Source organism: Homo sapiens, chromosome 2 (genome assembly GCF_000001405.40).
Source record: "Homo sapiens chromosome 2, GRCh38.p14 Primary Assembly".
NCBI classification, from domain to species: domain Eukaryota; kingdom Metazoa; phylum Chordata; class Mammalia; order Primates; family Hominidae; genus Homo; species Homo sapiens.
In genome coordinates, this window is record NC_000002.12 from 226,901,193 (window position 1) to 226,918,705 (window position 17,513).

A 17,513-nucleotide genomic window follows, 5' to 3' on the forward strand; every position below is an offset into this window, starting at 1 on the left:
AGGATTTCCTTATTTTTTAAGGCTGAATAATAAAAATTCCATTGTGTGTGTATGCGTGTGTGTGTATACATACCACATTTTCTTTATCGGTTGATGTACACTTAGGTTGTTTTCTTATCTTGGCTATTGTGAATAATGATGTAATGAATATGGGAGTGCAGATATCTCTTTGAAATACTAATTTCAGTTCCTTTGGGTATATATGCAGAAGTAGAATTGCTGGATCATATGGTATTTCTATTTTTAGATTTTGTAAGGAACCTCTGTATTGTTTTCTATAATAGCTGAACCAATTTACATTCCCACCAACAATGTATCAGTGTTGCCTTTACATCCTTGCCCACACTTGTTGTATCATTTGATTTTTTATAGTAGTCATCCTCACACATGTGAGGTGATATCTCATTGTGGTTTTGATTTGCATTTCCCTGATGATTAGTGATGTTGAGCAGCTTTTCATGTACCTGTTGCCCATTCATATCAAAGGAAATAGCAAAATGAAAAGGCATCCAGCAGAACGGAGACTATATTTGCAAACCATATATCTAATAGGGGACTAATATCCAAAATATGTAAAGAACTATAGCTCATTGGCAATAAATGACCCAATTGAAAAATGAGTAAAGCACTTGACTAGACATTTTTCTAAAAGAGACATACAAATGTAACTTGTGATTTTTTTAATACAGTGTATTTTAGATACATGTATTTTATGTGTAATTGAAATTCCACTCTTCCTCTCATCTGATAGTTACGTACTGAGTGCTAGTGTCAGGCCGTTTACTGTAGTTGCTGTGGTCATGGATGTAGAGTTGGTGGTGGTCCTGTCCCAGAAGGAATTACTCTGAATAGGATAGAGGGTGGTAGGTCATAACCAAATCCCCAGTCCTAGCCTAAGACCTAGTAAGGTCAACAGGAAGTTGTTCCTAGTTGCAGGATTGTCCCTGAATGCTGCTTCGGATGGCATCTTCCACGTGGAGCTAAGAACAGAATGAAGCCACAGGCTTATTCAGAGACCACAAGCTTCACAACTTCTGTTTAACACATCTAATTATGATTGTAACAATACTGTCTGGTTTTGATGCTGTTACGTTTGAAGGTAGATCCCAGCCACTGATCAGAGCATTCAGATGGATCATCTTCCCCCAAAGCCCAGGGCTTCTTTCTGTCTCCACAGCACCCCCAGCTCAGGGGTAAAGTGCCCTAACCCTAGGACTGGTGAGAACCACCTTCCCAGTTCAGTTTTCTCCCTGTCTGCAGGTCCATCTATCTTCTCGCTCAGGATGTGGGTATCTCTTAGAGGGTGAAGGGAAGTGATTTGTCAAATGGTTACCAAGGGCATGGAGAAAGTTAATTTACCTCTTAAAATGACTTTTATATTCCTTTTACATTGGTGAAATTCATTCTCCTGTTTTTTTATGTGTGTGATGTTGAGAGATTCTCAGTTTTGATTGAATAAGATCATAATCTCATTTTTATTTTAAAATTGAACACTTTTATAAAGCTTAAATGAAACAAGACCAGTTAAATTTTTGAGATGGAACTTTTGTGGAAAATGCTGAATGTTGGAGGATGACGCAATGAGTTCTCCGGACTGCCAGCCTCCCTTCCCTAGATATTTGAAATTATATTAGGGCAATTAGATTATAACTCAAACTTCTGAAAACCATTTAGAGATAGATAAGAAATTCATTTCACTGTATTGTACTCTAAATTGTAAATGAGATTCAAGATTAATTGTTTAATAGGTTGAAGTTTTAAATTGAAACTTCCTTCTATGTTATTTTATATCATATATGCTTCACCATGAAGGTTGATTTGAAACCAGAGTTTCAGAAATACCAATATTATTATATTCTTTTCATCTAAATTGAAGTTATTATTATTTTTTTAACTGGTCCTGGCCACTTCTTTGTATCTCTCAAACTGCCACTTTCTTTGTCATTTTTACAACTATTAATAGGTGGCCGATTGTACTGAGCCTGAGCATAGAATAAAATAAGTACAGTGGTCCCCCTTATCTGTGATTTTGCCTTCTGCATTTTTAGTTAGCCCCAGTCAACCTTGATCCAAAAACATTAAATGGAAAATTCCAGAAATAAGCCATTTATAAGTTTTAAATTTCACACTGCTCTGCATAGCATGGTGAAATCTCACCCCGTCTCACCCAGGACGTGAATCATCTCTTTGCCCCGTGTGTCCATGCTGTCTCTGCTACCCACCCGTGAGTCACTTAGTAGCTGTTATGATTATGAGATGAGAAAAGCATAGTATATATAAGGTTCAGTACTATCTGTGGTTTCAGCCATCCAGTTGGGGGTCTGCAGATAATGGGGGGTGACTATAGAATTTCTTAGCTTGGCTGGGGAGCTAAAAGCATAGTTCCTACTATTCTTGCCAGAAAATGGGAAAAAATGTTCAATCCCATAATTTTATTATATGAAGTAGTGACACGGACAGGAGGCAGAAACAGTGGGTAGAAGAGGGCGGTTCCCAGCAAAGGCCCCACCCTCAAGCCTGGAAACCCACAGCCCTAAATGGGAACAGGCATTCCTGTTTTTGCATCCAAAAGCTGCCTATTGGCCCACCACACCCCCCTCTCCTGTATCCATATAAACCTGAGACCCCAGGCTCCAGAAGGAGACAAGGAGATGAACAGAAGAGCAGAAGAATAGCAGAACGGCGCAACAGAGAGAAGGAGCATCTGAATGCTAAGAGGGAGTTTACCTGGACATGATCGGAGAGGAGATATGTCACTGGACAGCCAAACTCCAGGGGAAGACCATCTTCCCACTCCATCCTTCTTCCACCTCCCCATCCATCCCACTGGGAGCCACCTCCATCACCCAATAAAAGCCCCACATTCATCCTTCAAGTCCACGTGTGATCTGATTTTTCCTGGATGCCAGAGAAGAAACAGGGAAACAGAAAACTTTCACACTGGCCCTCTGCCTTTGTGGAAAGGCAGAGGGTTCACTGAGCTGTCTAACCCTTAAGCTGCCTGTGGACCGCAAGGTTAAAAGAGCGCACTGTAACACACACCCACTTGGGTTTCAGGAGTCGCAGATACACACCCCTGGACGTTGCCGTGAGGCTGAAGCCTAGGGGCACTCATCCCAGCTCCTGCACCTGCCCATCTGTGTGCTCCCCTTCCCGTAAGGGGTTTAAGCATGCACGGTCACCAAACAGACAAGTTACACCACTGTGGCACATCCTGCAAGCGGGGGGGGAGGGGGGTCAGGGAACTCCTGTTTCAGTAGATATATCTGATGAAAATAATGCTCTCCTGAGGGGATGATCGTGTATGTGGTGTGTGTGCGTGTCTGTGTGTGTGTGCACGCGCATGCATGTGCCATGACTTTTAGCACGTGTGCATGTATGTGAGGGCTTGTCTGGGCAATAGTGTCATTTAGTCAGCTAATGGGAACAAGCATCAATGCTGTTCTCTTTACAAGGCTCCTGTTTGTCTCTTTCTTTCAAGTGTTCCTCATTGCATGTTCTTTTCCTGAGAGCCAGCGAGTCTTTTCATAGCTTGGAGACAAAGAAAATTACTCAGAACCATCTTGCTTGTGGTGTTTCAGGGAATCTCCCCTAGGCTGCTGCCATAGTAGGCGAAATGTATTGGTTTTGACTCTGAGTCTCGTGTAGGTTACCAAATGGCGGATTCTTAGCTCTGTGATTGCCGTGGCTCAGCAAGCACCCTGAGCTGAACATCTAGTGGTTTTAACTTACCTCCTGTTGGTCTTGGTGAAACGGTCCTGGCACACTTGAGCCATTTACTCAACATATCCTTGAGTGCCTCTCATGTGCCTGGCCCTGTCCTGGGTGTTTGGAATACATATGTAAAAGCCACATAAAGGCTATGTTCTTGGAGTCTCCATCAGGCTCTTTCATAACTTTCAGTTTCCCACCTTCTGGAATGAGAGGTCACTATTCCAGGCTGTGGGAATGCGTTCATTTGCTTGGCTTTTTTTTTTTTTTAAGCTTCTAATTTTGTATAATGTATGAATGAGACACCATTGCTGCCCTCAGGGAGTTTGTGTGTGACAGAGAGAGACGGACAGGCAGGCAGACGTGTAAGTACTGTGCCACCAGCAGACTGGCTTCGTGCCAGAATAAGGTAGGAGCCTCAGCTCTGAGGGGAGGCAGGAGAAGGAAAGAACGGCTCTTCAACTGGGGTGGCATTTTTTGACAGAGGTGCTGTTTGGCTTAGCCTATGGTCAGAGAGTGCTTGGGGGATGTGACAGTGGGGCATGTGGGAATGGAGGTAGTAGACGATGAGGTCTCCACCCTCTGACTTTGCAGAGATGGGCAAGGCCAAGTGTTGGAAGGGCTTAAACACACACCGGAGTATTCTGTGAGAACCAGTGGATTTCAGAGGATGGCAATGACACCACTTGCCTTCTGCCTCAGGAGGATAACTGATGGCCGTGTGTGGGATGCACTGGAGAGCAAGAGCTGGCTTGCAGGGAGACCAGCTGGATGATTTTCTTTCATTTATTTTATTCATTCAACACACATTCATCTGGGGTTCACTCTGTGCCCAACACTGGGCATTTCCAAATAGTCCAGATGGCAGTAAGCATGGTTGTGGCAGTAGGAATGGGAAGGCTGGGAGGGGTATGAGAGGCATTACAAACGGGAAGTGGGAGTGGCACCCCAGAAAAGTCTAGTTTAAGGTGCTAGTGGATGTGTGCATGTGTGCGCGGGGGTGTCTAGAGGGTGGCGGGCAGCTGGAAATTGAGGTCAAGTGCTTAAAGAACAACTCGTTGTGTAGGACCCCCCCCTTTGTGGTAACAGCAGAGGTTTTTGAGAATCGCCAGTAATTTCTTAAACTCAGGCTGGTTGGGAGGTCATTCAGCCAGGGAACTCCACAAAGAGTGTTGCCACTTGGGTCAAAGTAGACCTCTGAAAATAAATCTTACAAGTAATTGCTGGTTTTAGATGCCAGTTTAAGAAGAGTTAAACCACTGTCATGCCCTAACGCAAACACTTTCATGCCCTAACTCATCTTTCAAGTTTGAAATTTAAATGTATGTTTCTTTGTTCTGAGTGACTGAAACATACACATGAAGACAACTTTGGTGGATGCAGGTGGGCATCTCAGTTCCTTTTGCTGAGTTTCACTTGCTCTCTGCTTCACTCATCCATGGTGTAGAAAACTGCAGCAGTCTGCCCTGCCATAACACAGATAGACATCATCCCTCACAATGGCTGGATAATTCCAGATTTAATGCCAAACAGAGAAAACTGATTTTATTTATGTTTTGTGATAAGAGGTACAGAAAAAAAACGGAAAGCGATGTAATGACTTGTCTTGACCAAATGCTTCCACTGCTCTGGAGGAGACAACCCACTTCCCCTGGTTAAGGAGGGGTGTTGCGTTTTAAACATGTGGTGGTTGTTATTCATTGTACTTTTTTTTAAGGTAGGAGATGTTGTTCTTTGGACTGAGTTAAATGCTGCTTAGCATAAAAGACTTGATGTGGAACAAAGCCTGCAGACTGTGACTATTTGACATGCACTGGGCTAATGAGAAGACAGAATGTCTCTAATCAGCAGCAGAACAAACACTCACAAAGGGTCTCCTTCCCTCCTAGGACTTCCTTCGCTGGGCATCTGGCTGGGATTCTTGTTGGACTAATGTACACTCAAGGGCCTCTGAAGAAAATCATGGAAGCATGTGCAGGTACAGAATAAAACACCTTTGGCATGACAACAGCTTGGAAGTTCATGTTAATTTTAATGTGAACAGAAGCAACCCCAAGTTTCCCTGTGGTTCAGCTCAAGAATTCCCTAATATGCCTGTTTTTCTTTTTAAACCGAAAGGTAAAACAACCAGTGCAGTTCCTTACATTGCTCCACAAAAGAGGCTGCAAACTTAAATTTCGAATCTGATACTTTCTTAGGGGACAAATATCAGTATATATTTATACCCTCAACCTTAATGCTACCCGCAGAAAACCACGATTTCCTAAAGAATGCAGAGAACTAAAGTGCCTTTAAAATAATGCATTCTTCTATAATAGTCCATGAATTAATATACGTGCAAGGCAAAGGTGAAAAAGAAAACAAAGCCTGGACTGAAGTGCATGGCCAGTATTTTAAAGAATTCAGACTGATGACCGGGTCCTTGGTGGATGAGCCATATATTCATGCATGGCGAAACCAAGTCTGTTATTGCTTGAAGCTTAGCTCCTGCTTTTTTTAATTTTGTTTTTCCCTTCAAATTGATACTCAATGAAAATATTTCATTTAGAAATACTTGTATTTTTTAGACCTCTTAATTTTCAATGCGATTCTCATTTTGACTTGTAAGAAAACTGGTTTGCAAACACTTGTTTTATAGACTGAGTTCCACTATTTCATCTTTTATTCATGGGAAGTCTTCTGAGACTATTTTACCTTTTCTTGAACCATAAATAATTTGTTTCACAGTTTGTGCTGATGACTGGTATTCTTGAGAACCATATAATATTCATGATAGTAGAAAGCTTTCCAGGCACTGCACTGGCACCTTTATTAGCAGGTCGTGTTCACTTTTGGTTGATTTTTACAGGCTGTGTTGCATTTAAGCAGATCCTCATTTTCCCACGTTTGCTTATTAATGTGTTTCCACTGTACGTACTTAGAGGAGGCAGTGGGAGCTTCATTTATTGAAAATGTCCAGTTTTATTGTATTTTCAATACAATTTAATACTCATTAGTACTGATAAAAGAGATGATTCTCGGGAGTTTAATGTCTTGTTTCTTTTTTCTGTGTCTCATGATGAAGCGGTTAGTAAAGCTTTTTGCAGACATGTTATGAAATTTAAGCAAGTGCTTTGTTTAATTTTTAAAGAGGATTTTCCCCTAATTATAATATTTAAACTCTTAGTTTTAAAAGCCTTAAAAAATAAGTGGTGACTTATTTCTACACCACTCCATTTTCAAAGTAATAAATACAATAGCAAATTAAATAGGAAAATTAGAACACTCAGTGCAATTTGCAAATAGCCTGCGAACTCGGCCTTTTTTCTGTGAGCTGAGAATTGAAGGACACAGGAACCCCATGGAAAACGACCCAGCATGTGGAAGCTGCTGTCTGATGCCTCCTGGAAGAGGAGGGTCACCCTGAGGGTGTGGCCCTTGGCCCTCCCTCTCTCATTTCATTCAGCCGTGCCAAATTGACTGAGTAGACAGTCCTACTGCCTTCTGTAGGGACAAGAAAGAGTGAAGTCCCCTAGGAAGGGTAGGGAGGATGGCTCTCCTAACACCTTCTTTGAGGAAGGTTCTCCATTTAGCCAGAGTGTCTCTGCTTGTACAGAGACATCAAAGCCGAGGCTTGGTACTTTGGCAGGCAAAGACTAAGGAACTTCAGTGAGTGTAAATTAGGGTTTCATTTTCCACTACACACACACACACACACACACACACACACACACACACATTCTTTTCCCTGTAGGGACACACACACACTCTTTTCCAGTTAGGGCTGGCCCCCAAACAAAAGGGAGTTTATTTTAATAAGTGTTTAGAAATCATTTGAAATGACCTTGGGCTTTGTCCAGAGAACTTTCTAATTACTGGAACAATTAGCATTTAAAGCTTTATGGCTGCCATTAAAATGTTTATTTCTTTTACGTTTAGGCGGTTTTTCCTCCAGTGTTGGTTACCCAGGACGGCAATACTACTTTAATAGTTCAGGTAGGCACTGTATTTCATTTAATAAATTTTAACTTATTTTTAAAATTATAGTGTTCAGCTCTACAGAGTACTTTAGGATACTACTAGTTTCTGCTGTGGTAGGGTCATTCACATGTTGTGTAACTGTGCCTCTAACACACCTGGAAGCTAGATGGAGGGTAGCCTAGGGAGCATATTTGTGGGGGTTGGTAGGGAAGGCCAGGGAAGGAGGTAACTCAGGCATGAAAACATGGTATGATTGGTATGAGGTCTCTCATGTGTGATAAGATTCATATTAGACCTTGGTTCTTTAAGTCTCAGTCTGAGACTCTACTGCTGGGAAAGTGTTAAAAGTTGGTTTTAGGTGTATAGTTCTCCATGGCCCATCCTGTGTATATTCAGGAACCCTTGCATACCGTCAGATGCTAAAATAGGCATGCCTCTAACAAATGCCATGTGACTTAATGAGGAAGAATGTATTTTTCTAAGTATCTGTGTAAATAGATAGAAAAGACTTCCTGTTAAAAGCGTAAGACCTATTTTAGGCTAAAGCCTTTGCATTCCAGTCTGGGGTGGCTACACGGTAGTATTTTAGATCAGGCCCAGCAGCCAGGTGTTAGCCATGGCCATTGGAACACTCATGTCTTAATGCAGTGAACTGAATGTGCCCGTCCCCAAATTCATACGTTGAAACCCTAACCCCTAATGTGATGATTTTAGTAGGGTAGGAGTTTGGGGAAAAAATTAGGTCATGAGGGTAGGGCCCTCATGAATGGGATTAATGTCCCTATAAAAGCGACCTCAGAGAGCTCTCTAGCTTCCTCACTGCCACATGAGGATACAAGAAGTCAGCAGTCTGCAACCTGGAAGAGGGTCGTCACCAGAACTGACCACACTGGCATCGCAAGCTTCCAGCCTCCAGATTGTGACAAATTTCTATTGCTTAAGCCAGCCAGTCTATGGCTGTTTGTTATAGCATCCCAAATGGACTAAGATGTGTTTCTGTTTATATTAATTGAGGACCACTATAGCTTAAAGCTGAGACTAGCAGCCTTTTCTTTAAAGGACCGGACAGATAATATTTCAGGCATCAAGGGCTTTATTGGCCATATAATCTCTGCTGGAACTAACCTGTCCTTGTAGCATGAAAGCTGCCAGAGACAATATGTAAACAAGTGGGTATAGGTGTGTTCCAATAGAATCTTATTCCTAGCTCCTGCCTTTTCTACTGTGTAAGGATATGAGATTGACACTCTGCCAATTTAACCTTACAAAATAGGGCAGTTCTACTTACTGTCTTCTCTCTCTTTTGCACTCGATTTATTTTCTATTTTTTAAAAAAGAGGACTGAAGAGAACAGCTTCTTTCCTTCTTATGTGGAAGAAGCACAGTCACACAGACCAGAGAATTAAGGGCAAAAATAATAAAAAGCCCTTTTTACCTCTTTTAACCTCTGTAAAATTACTATAGTTATATGCCTTTCTCTGAAGTGATTGGATTTCTTCAAAGGCAGAGCTACTTAAGGCCAGGTGGCTATGCTAATGGTCATCTAGGGAACTTTTATGAGAGCATATGTATATCTTACAAGTAATGATTTATTCTTAATATGGCTGTCCTTAGCTGGAAAAGTCTTTATAGGTCAAAGAACCGCATGAATATTTAAAAAGCTGTTACCAATTTTTCTAATCTTGGTGGTGTTTCTTGATCTCCTTTGCCATGAAATCCTGGTATGTGTATAAGGAACAGATGGAGTAGTTAATAGAATAATGACAACCAGATTTTCTTTTACTACAGAGCCTAAGTATATAACTAAAAAAAAAAAATTAAACTAGTATTCCTCTCAGGACATAATTTAAATTTATTTATCTTAATTGTTTGATTGCTAGGTTTTTCCAGGAATGTTTATTATGAAGATTTTAAAACATCTGATTGGGCCAGTGAAACATCCATAGAAAATTTTTGGTCCTACGGGAGGAGATCTGTTCTCATTATAATAGATACTGATGAGATTTTGGGTCCTGTTGATGATCTATGATTGACGATATAGAACGTTTAGCCACACTGGTCTTTCTGATTTAAGGCACCAAAACTTTCCCATTTTCTTTCCCCATATTTTGTCTGACAAGTACCAAATTTGTTTTTATAATATTCAGATGTTTAGAGTTGTTGACTTTATTTCATTGAAGAACTGCCAGATTATTTTAAAATAAGAAATAGCATGAATAAAAATGTTTTTCTACATCAAGAAAATGTTGCCTCAAATCATCGCATGTGTATCTGGCAATTAAAACTCTAGGTAGATATACAGTTTCTATGTGGTGAGCAAATATTCAGAGACCTTGGGTTATTTTGGCTTTTGAATTAACTGAGCATTTTTGGGGGTGGATAGGTAGAAATGCTGCGTAGATCTTACATAACAGAATGGCTTTCCACATGGGTTTGAAAGTGATAATGAGCCATGTGGGAAATTACCCAATATACTTTTTGTATTCCAGTAAAATAATTGGCATTCATAGGGAATTGGGCAGTTTCTCTAAGCAGGGATTGCTGAAGCATCCCATGCTATTCAGTGACGTCTCTATAAATATTCTATTAGTGTTGCAGAATGGTTGCCACTTTCTTTGATTCTTTGTGGAAAAGATGTATTAATTATGTTTTTACCATTTGTCCTCATGTGAAAGTTCTTTTTTTTTTTTTTTTTTTTTTAATAAGGAATGAAAAGTAAGATGTGTAAAAACACTACCACAGTCTCCTTTACTCTCAAGGTCTGAAACTGGCTGGTTGGGTGTTCCCCAGTGCAGCAATGGGGGCTAAATTTTTCTGATTCTATTGGATAGAGACCAGTTTAAGAATAAATGTTCATATTTAAAATGGTAAGATCCAAGTTCAGTTTTAAGCCATTGTGAGGATTTGGAAAATGTACTTGTCTCCTTCTCCTGTTCTAAATATCAATAATGTTAATATTTTGACATGGGAAACAGGTGAGAGAAAATATGAAAGTTGGGTTATTGGAGGTATTTAGTAAATCCTCATTAATATTTACTGCACTGGGGCAAAGCTTTTCAGAATTAGTCTCCAAAATCCTAAACCATTTTATTTAATGTTTATTTAAATCATTCCTTTTTCTTTTACTTTCAAGGACGTTCAGTAAAATAGAATCAAGTTAGAAGAGTTTTTTCACAATCACTGAGAATGGACAAAAGATCTGGCTAGACATTTCTCTAAGAAGATACACACATGGCCAATAAGCACATAAAAAGACACTCAGCATTATTAGTCATCAAAACCACAGTGAGATACCACTTCATATGCCCTAGGATGTTTGTGAATAAAAAGGCAAATAATAGCAAGTGTTAGTGAGGATGTGGAGAAATTGGAACCCACATACACTGCTTGTAGGAATAGAAAATGGTACAGCTACTTTGGAAAACATTCTGGCGATTCCTCAGATAGTTAAACAGAATCGCCATGTGACGCAGCAGTTCCACTTTTAGGTATATACTCAAAAGAAATGAAACCATATGTCCACCTAAAAACTTGCTCACAAATGTTTATAGCAGCATTATTCATAACAGTCAAAAGGTAGAAATAATACAAATGTCTATCAGTTGACACATGGATAAACAAAATGTGGTATAAGCCATACAGTGGAATATTATTTGCCCATAAAAAAGAATGAAGTACCGATAAATGTAACAAAATTGATGAACCTGGAAAATATACTAAGTGAAATAAGCTAGACACAAAATGCCACATATTACATGATTTTGTTTATATGAGCTATCCAGAATAGGCATATTCTGTAGAGACAGAAAGTAGATTAGTGCTTACTTAGAGCTGGAGAAGGGATGGGAGGGTGAGGATTGTTAGCTAAAGAGTACAGATTTCTTTTTGGGGATGATGAAAATGTCCAAAATTGATTGTGGTAATGATGGTGCAACTCTAAAATATACTAAAAACCACTGAGTTGTACACTTTAAGTTGATAAATTGTATGGATGTCAATTATATATCAATAAAGCTGTTCTAAAAATATCAATAGACACAACTACTTTTCATGACCAATATTTATATAAAAAACTAGTGTGTTTTGTCATTCGTTGTTTATATGAAAATGAAGTCTACTAGAGTGCTGATTTACAGTTTCCCTTTTAATCCTGCATATTAGGAAAATATTCATAAAGAATACAACAGTAAATTTTAAAATAGCCTCAGGACCAACTATCAAAAATTCTGAGCATGAAATCTCAATTAATGCAATTCTGCCATTCAGTGTTCCTCTTTTGGCTGGATTGTGTTTTTTTTCTGTAGCCTTATTAAAGCTCCAACTCAGGCCTGTACTGCTGTACTCTGTGGGATAATATGGAGATCTGTCACAAAGACTCATAGCAAAGGTTAGGAATCTTCATCAACAACCCAAACCACATTATTTAAATATTTGAAACATCAACTTCAAAGAATATAATAATGGCAGGAAAGAAGAGAAAAAATCAAACAGACTATTTTACTTCTCTCTCTTTATGCCAGAATGAGATTGGTAACCTTCTGTGGGGAACAAAAATCTCTTCCAAACAAATTCTCTAACTATTGGCAGTTAAAGGAAATGTAAGGAATAAACTCAAACTGAAAAGATCAATGGAAATATCTTCCAAAAATGAACTTTTCCCTGTTATTGACCTTTATTAATGGTGTACCTAAGTTTGGTACCTAAAGCATTATTTAATGACTAGGTTATCTCTTCTCTCTTGTTTTATCTAGCAACCATTTTTTTTTGAAGTCGTCTCTTCTTTCTTGTTTTATCTAGAAACCTTTTTTTGGGGGGGAGCTATAATCTCTGACATAGAATTACAATTACAGAGAAATTGGCTGCATCTTAATGTTGGTATTGTCTGAAGTATTCTGTGGGATCTGTATGAAACATTGGTCTGCCCCTTATTGTACAGAGCAACAAGACAATAAGGCTTTATTAGCTATTGTTTCCACCATTCTCTTGACTCAAGCCAGGACTTCACTGAAAACTCTCCAAGTATTGAATAGCTCTAAGCTGAAAGAATCCACTCCATATGTCAATAGCTCATTCCAGTCTCTTCCCCAGGACTTCTGACTACCCTCTGAATTAATATCTCCTTTCCTCATTAGCACATAAGGACTCATTCATGTTCAGCCCCATGGTGGGCACTGAGGATACAGTAACAAGACAATCACCATTTGGCATCTTTTCTTATTTTGAGGATAATTATTATACCTAAAATAATGTTATGCCTTACTCGCTTGTCTTTGCTTATACAAAACAGGAAGTATAAAACAACAGTCCATAGCTGTGTTCTAGAACCTTTTCCTTGTGCCTTTAGGCAGCTCTGGATATCAGGATTATTATCCGCATGGCAGGCCAGATCACTATGAAGAAGCACCCAGGAACTATGACACGTACACAGCAGGACTGAGTGAAGAAGAACAGCTCGAGAGAGCATTACAAGCCAGCCTCTGGGACCGAGGTAGGAGTCTTGCGCCCTTCAGTTATTTTAAAGCATACCTCATGTGGTAAGGTAGTCTGAAAAAGAGCTATTTGTAGCAAATTAAATTTTAAACAGTTCAGAAAAAGGATATGTAGATGAAAACTGTGTGCAGATTGTGATTACAAAGAATGGGGTGTGATGCCATATTCCCAGCAACCTAAGCTAATAAGGTGCCAGACTGTGTATGTATTGTTAAAGTGGTTCTTTTTATAGTCCTGCTGTACTTGATGCTTTGGCATTAAAGTCAAGAAACTTAAAATTCTTAGATGCATGATAAAAAAAAGAGAGATTTTCTTTGGAATTCATATTTGTAAAGAAGGCTCAGTGTCACTAAGTATCAAAATATTGCCCATAAACCTCCGACAAATCTCCCTCAGCATCACATAGGCTAAGAATTCAAGCTCAGATTTGACTTCTGCTGAACCAATCTGTCTGGGGGTAGAGCCTAGAAATTTGTGTTTTGAACAGGCTTTCCAGGAGATTCTTTTATAAACCGATATCTGAAAAAACACTGTATATATTTTGCCATGTTTGTTCTAGGTTTGGATTATGAGTTTGGGTATTACTGTTTTTATTGTTTGAGTAGCGACTAAAAATCAACTGTTCATTTAAAGGGCATTTGTTAAAGTTTTATGTTTCATGTACAATGGTAGGTACAATAGGGAACACTGAGTGGTAAAAGTTGGAAACTACCCTCAAAAAGTTAACAATCTGTGTTTGGGCATATGCCTACTAGATGTGATACCACACAGGTAACCCTAGCATCAGGTGACTAAGAGAGGCTCAAGCTAAGTGTTAGACGTAGGGAGAAGATGGTGAGCTTTTTCATACCTAGAACTATCAGATTTTCACAGAGGAGATAGCATTTGAGTTGGACCTTCAAGAATGTGTAGAACTTGAAGAGCTGTGGACGGGCATTCTCTGCAGAAGTCTGAATATCAGCATAGAAGTTAGGGTCATGTTCTGCCAGCCCTCACTTTTGAATGGACAATAAGAGAAGAAAGGGAAGAAGAGTGGGAAGCTAGGCTGGGTCCGGATCGCAGGGGTCCTAGAATTAAATAGACCAAGTGGAAAGTGGATTTAGTGTGTGGTATAAATGCCAGTAGAGCTCTGCATGGGACACTGATGTGGTCAGAGCTCTGTTAAAAGAATCTGGTAGTAGCAGTCATTCTGCGAAGAAGATTGAGCACCAATCAGGTACCAAGCATTATGCTAGGTGATGAGAGTACATAAATTATGACAATATAATTTCTGACTTTAAGGAATATAGTCTTAGTAGCAACAGTGTGCATGGAGGTGGGGAATGACAACAAGCGGGAGACAAGTTGGAAGACTATATTGCAGTAACCTGAACAAGAAAGGAAAGCCTAAATTATGAAGGTGGAGAAGAAGGCATAAATCTGTATTTCTCAGGTGAAGAGTTTCAGAACTGTGATGATGTATCAGTAATCTATCACTGTGTTAAGAATCACCCTGAAACTCGTGGATTAAAACAGTAAACATTTGTTCTTGCTCATGAGTATGTGAAGCAGCTGGGCTGGGCTTAGCTGATTTTGGCTAGCGAGCTAAGGTGTCTGCGCTGGTCTGCTGGGGTCTGGCTGCTCTAAGATGGCTTCTTCTACATGCCTGCCTGACTAATGGTGGTGTTACGCCATGCCTCATTCCTCAGCCAGCAGGCTAGCCTGGGCTTATTCACCAGGCCACAGCATAAGGTTTACAGGAGAGTGCAGAAATAAACAAGTCTTATGCTGGCACAATGTCAGTTCCACTGTATTCTGTATACTGTTACTGAAGCAGGTAACAAGACCAGCTCAGATTCATGGGATAGGGAGATAGTCTCCACCTCTTGGAGGAACCGCAAAGTCACATGCAATGGTTATGGATAGAGGGAGAGGTGGAGAATTGTAGCCATTTTTGTAATCGCTGTATCACATATAGTCAGTGGACTGCCAGTATCACAGTCATTCAAAAGCATGCCTTAGCTATGGAATCCTGAAATCTGGGGAAAGGGCCCCAGAGCCTATATTTTTAACAAATTCTCATGGTTATTCCTGTACACACAGGTTTAATCACCACTGGGCTATCCATGAAATATTACAGGACAAGTAGGGCAGGGCAAAACTTCTCAGCGTGGACTTCATACAGCCTATCTCTATCCCCTTCAAGGCTGACTTCAAATAAAGTCAAAAGAGCCAAAGAACACAGCATGATAGGAAAGATTTGGACTTATATTTGGGAGACATCTTCTGATTATTATCTTCTGTTAAGAAAATGTGTATTCTAAAGTAGCAAGCCTTCATAAAGAGTGATGGAAAATCAGGGAAAAATTAGGCAGCCCGAGTGAGAATATTTGAATGTGAGACATAGAAAACCTCCCATGTTAAATGTAGTAAGAGAAAGGAAATGCAAGAAGACAAGCTTACCTTTTGTAGTTTTGTTTCTAAAGGGTTGCTATATGCCCCCATCAGTAATTATACAGGAAGTTAGTACTAGTAGTACAGGTGTCTTTTTTGAAAGAGAAAGAAAATAATGACTTCCCTCAGTAATTTGGGCTCAGAGACATGAGCATGGAAGATCTGCAGATGAAAGCACCCTCTGATGGCCCTGGTGATTTTGGAGCAATTTTATAGACTTGAATCTAGGTACAAAGGAAGGGCTTACATTTTGGGAATCAGAAGAAAGTTGGAGTAGATTTTTGAGATGTTTCCTTAATGAAGAATATATTTATTATTAAGTTAATATAAGTCATTAATATTAATTTTTCCTGTTTAACAGTAAATGGTATTGAAATATATACTAACAGGCAAAAAGAAAAAAAGACACAGGCTACCTTCAGAGATTTCAGAAAGTCATCTGATAGTAGTGTTGATTTTTCATAAATTTAAATCTTATTCTTAAAAAAACTTCTTGTAAAAATAACTCGAGAGTATACTGAACAGAAATAGAAACAACTTAAAATGTTTTACTACCCCTATTTTAAATTATTTTATATTTTTTCTTCTTACCCTTAAAACATTTCAGTTAAGAAATGAATAATTTTTACTTTAAAAAAAAGATTTTTACACATCAGATGCTATAAGACTCGCTTGGTGAGAAGAGTATTTCTGGGATTATTTTGAAGCCAAGGGTTTTGTTTCTACCTCTGTCTAACTAGTTGCTTGGTTTGAAAAAATCTAGCTTCTACTTTGTGAGTATGGAGTTACGTTCTAAAACTCCTCACAGTAGAAGATTGCTAAGACTAAATGATCCAGAGTTTGTGCTGAATTACTTTTGCTATCTGACCTTTTATTTTAACAAAATCATAGGTTTTTTTCTTCCCTTTTTTTCCTTCCTCCTACACATGTATTTTCAGAATTTAAAACAGTCTCTTCTTTCCATTCATGAAAAATCACAAAAGTATGTAGAACTTGTTTGTCTCTCAAATGGCCACTTGGTACATCTTAAACAGAGTGGCCTTGGTTAGGATTTTGAATTACGGTGAATGAAATATAAAAATAAATAATTTTAAAAAGAAAAGAAATCATAAAAGTTAATAGTTAATTGATGATTTTTGAATATAGGACTTTCTAAACAGAAAAGTAATGAAAAAATTGTGGAAGATAGACCATTGAAAACTTTGACAAAGAATTAATATAATCAGCATGTAAACTCATGCAATGAAGTAATTAATACTAACTCCTATTAGGAAAATAGAAAATAATTTTAACATATAATCCAAAGACTTATAAGTGACCAGTGTGCATCTAAAAATAATTTGCTGTATATTAGCAAAGAGTTAGTTTGTTCATCTCACTACATTTATTTTTTTTAATTTTTAATTTTTGTGGATACATAGCAGGTGTATATATTTATGGGGTACATGAGAATTTTAATACAGGCATGCAGTGTATAATACATCAGGGTAAATGGAGTATCCATCACCTCAAGCATTTGTCCTTTCTTTGTGTTACAAACAATCCAGTTCTACTCTTTTAGTTATTTTTAAATGTACAAAAAAAAATTGTTGACTCTCATCACGCTGTTGTGCTATTAAATACTAGATCTTACTCATTCTAATTATTTTTTGTACCCATTAACCATCTTCATTTCTGCTCATCCTCCACCCCAGCATCTGGTAACCGTCTTTTCACTCTCTATCTCCATGAGTTTGTTTTAATTTATAGCTCCCACAAATAAATAAGAACATGCAAAATTTGTCTTTCTGTGCCTGGCTTATTTTACTTAACACAGTAACCTCCAGTTCCATCTACGTTGTTGCAAATGACAAGATCTCATTTTGTTTAATGGATGAATAGTATTCTATTGTGTATAAGTACTACATTTTCTTTATCCA

The 17,513-nt window shown here is 38.8% G+C and overlaps 1 protein-coding gene across 37 annotated transcripts in view, besides 1 other annotated feature; it reads left to right on the forward strand.

The window, feature by feature from the left end:
• Nucleotides 1–17,513, forward strand: part of RHBDD1 (rhomboid domain containing 1) — a 199,052-nt gene that overhangs the window by 101,034 nt on the left and 80,505 nt on the right. For all 37 annotated transcript variants that reach the window (XR_007082541.1, NM_001349069.2, XM_047445998.1 and 34 more), the window contains 3 exons: nt 5,601–5,689; nt 7,630–7,686; nt 13,016–13,159. Coding sequence is in view for 36 of the 37 variants with exons in the window: in NM_001349069.2 (NP_001335998.1) it covers nt 5,601–5,689; nt 7,630–7,686; nt 13,016–13,159 (290 nt within the window). In the remaining variant the exon portion in view is untranslated. The remainder of the gene's footprint in view (nt 1–5,600; nt 5,690–7,629; nt 7,687–13,015; nt 13,160–17,513) is intronic.
• Nucleotides 3,655–3,804: a silencer, noted in NCBI's record as "silent region_12395". NCBI's record gives its function as "represses an Ori minimal core promoter by ATAC-STARR-seq in GM12878 lymphoblastoid cells {active_cell/tissue: GM12878}" and the evidence as "EXISTENCE:reporter gene assay evidence [ECO:0000049][PMID:35858748]".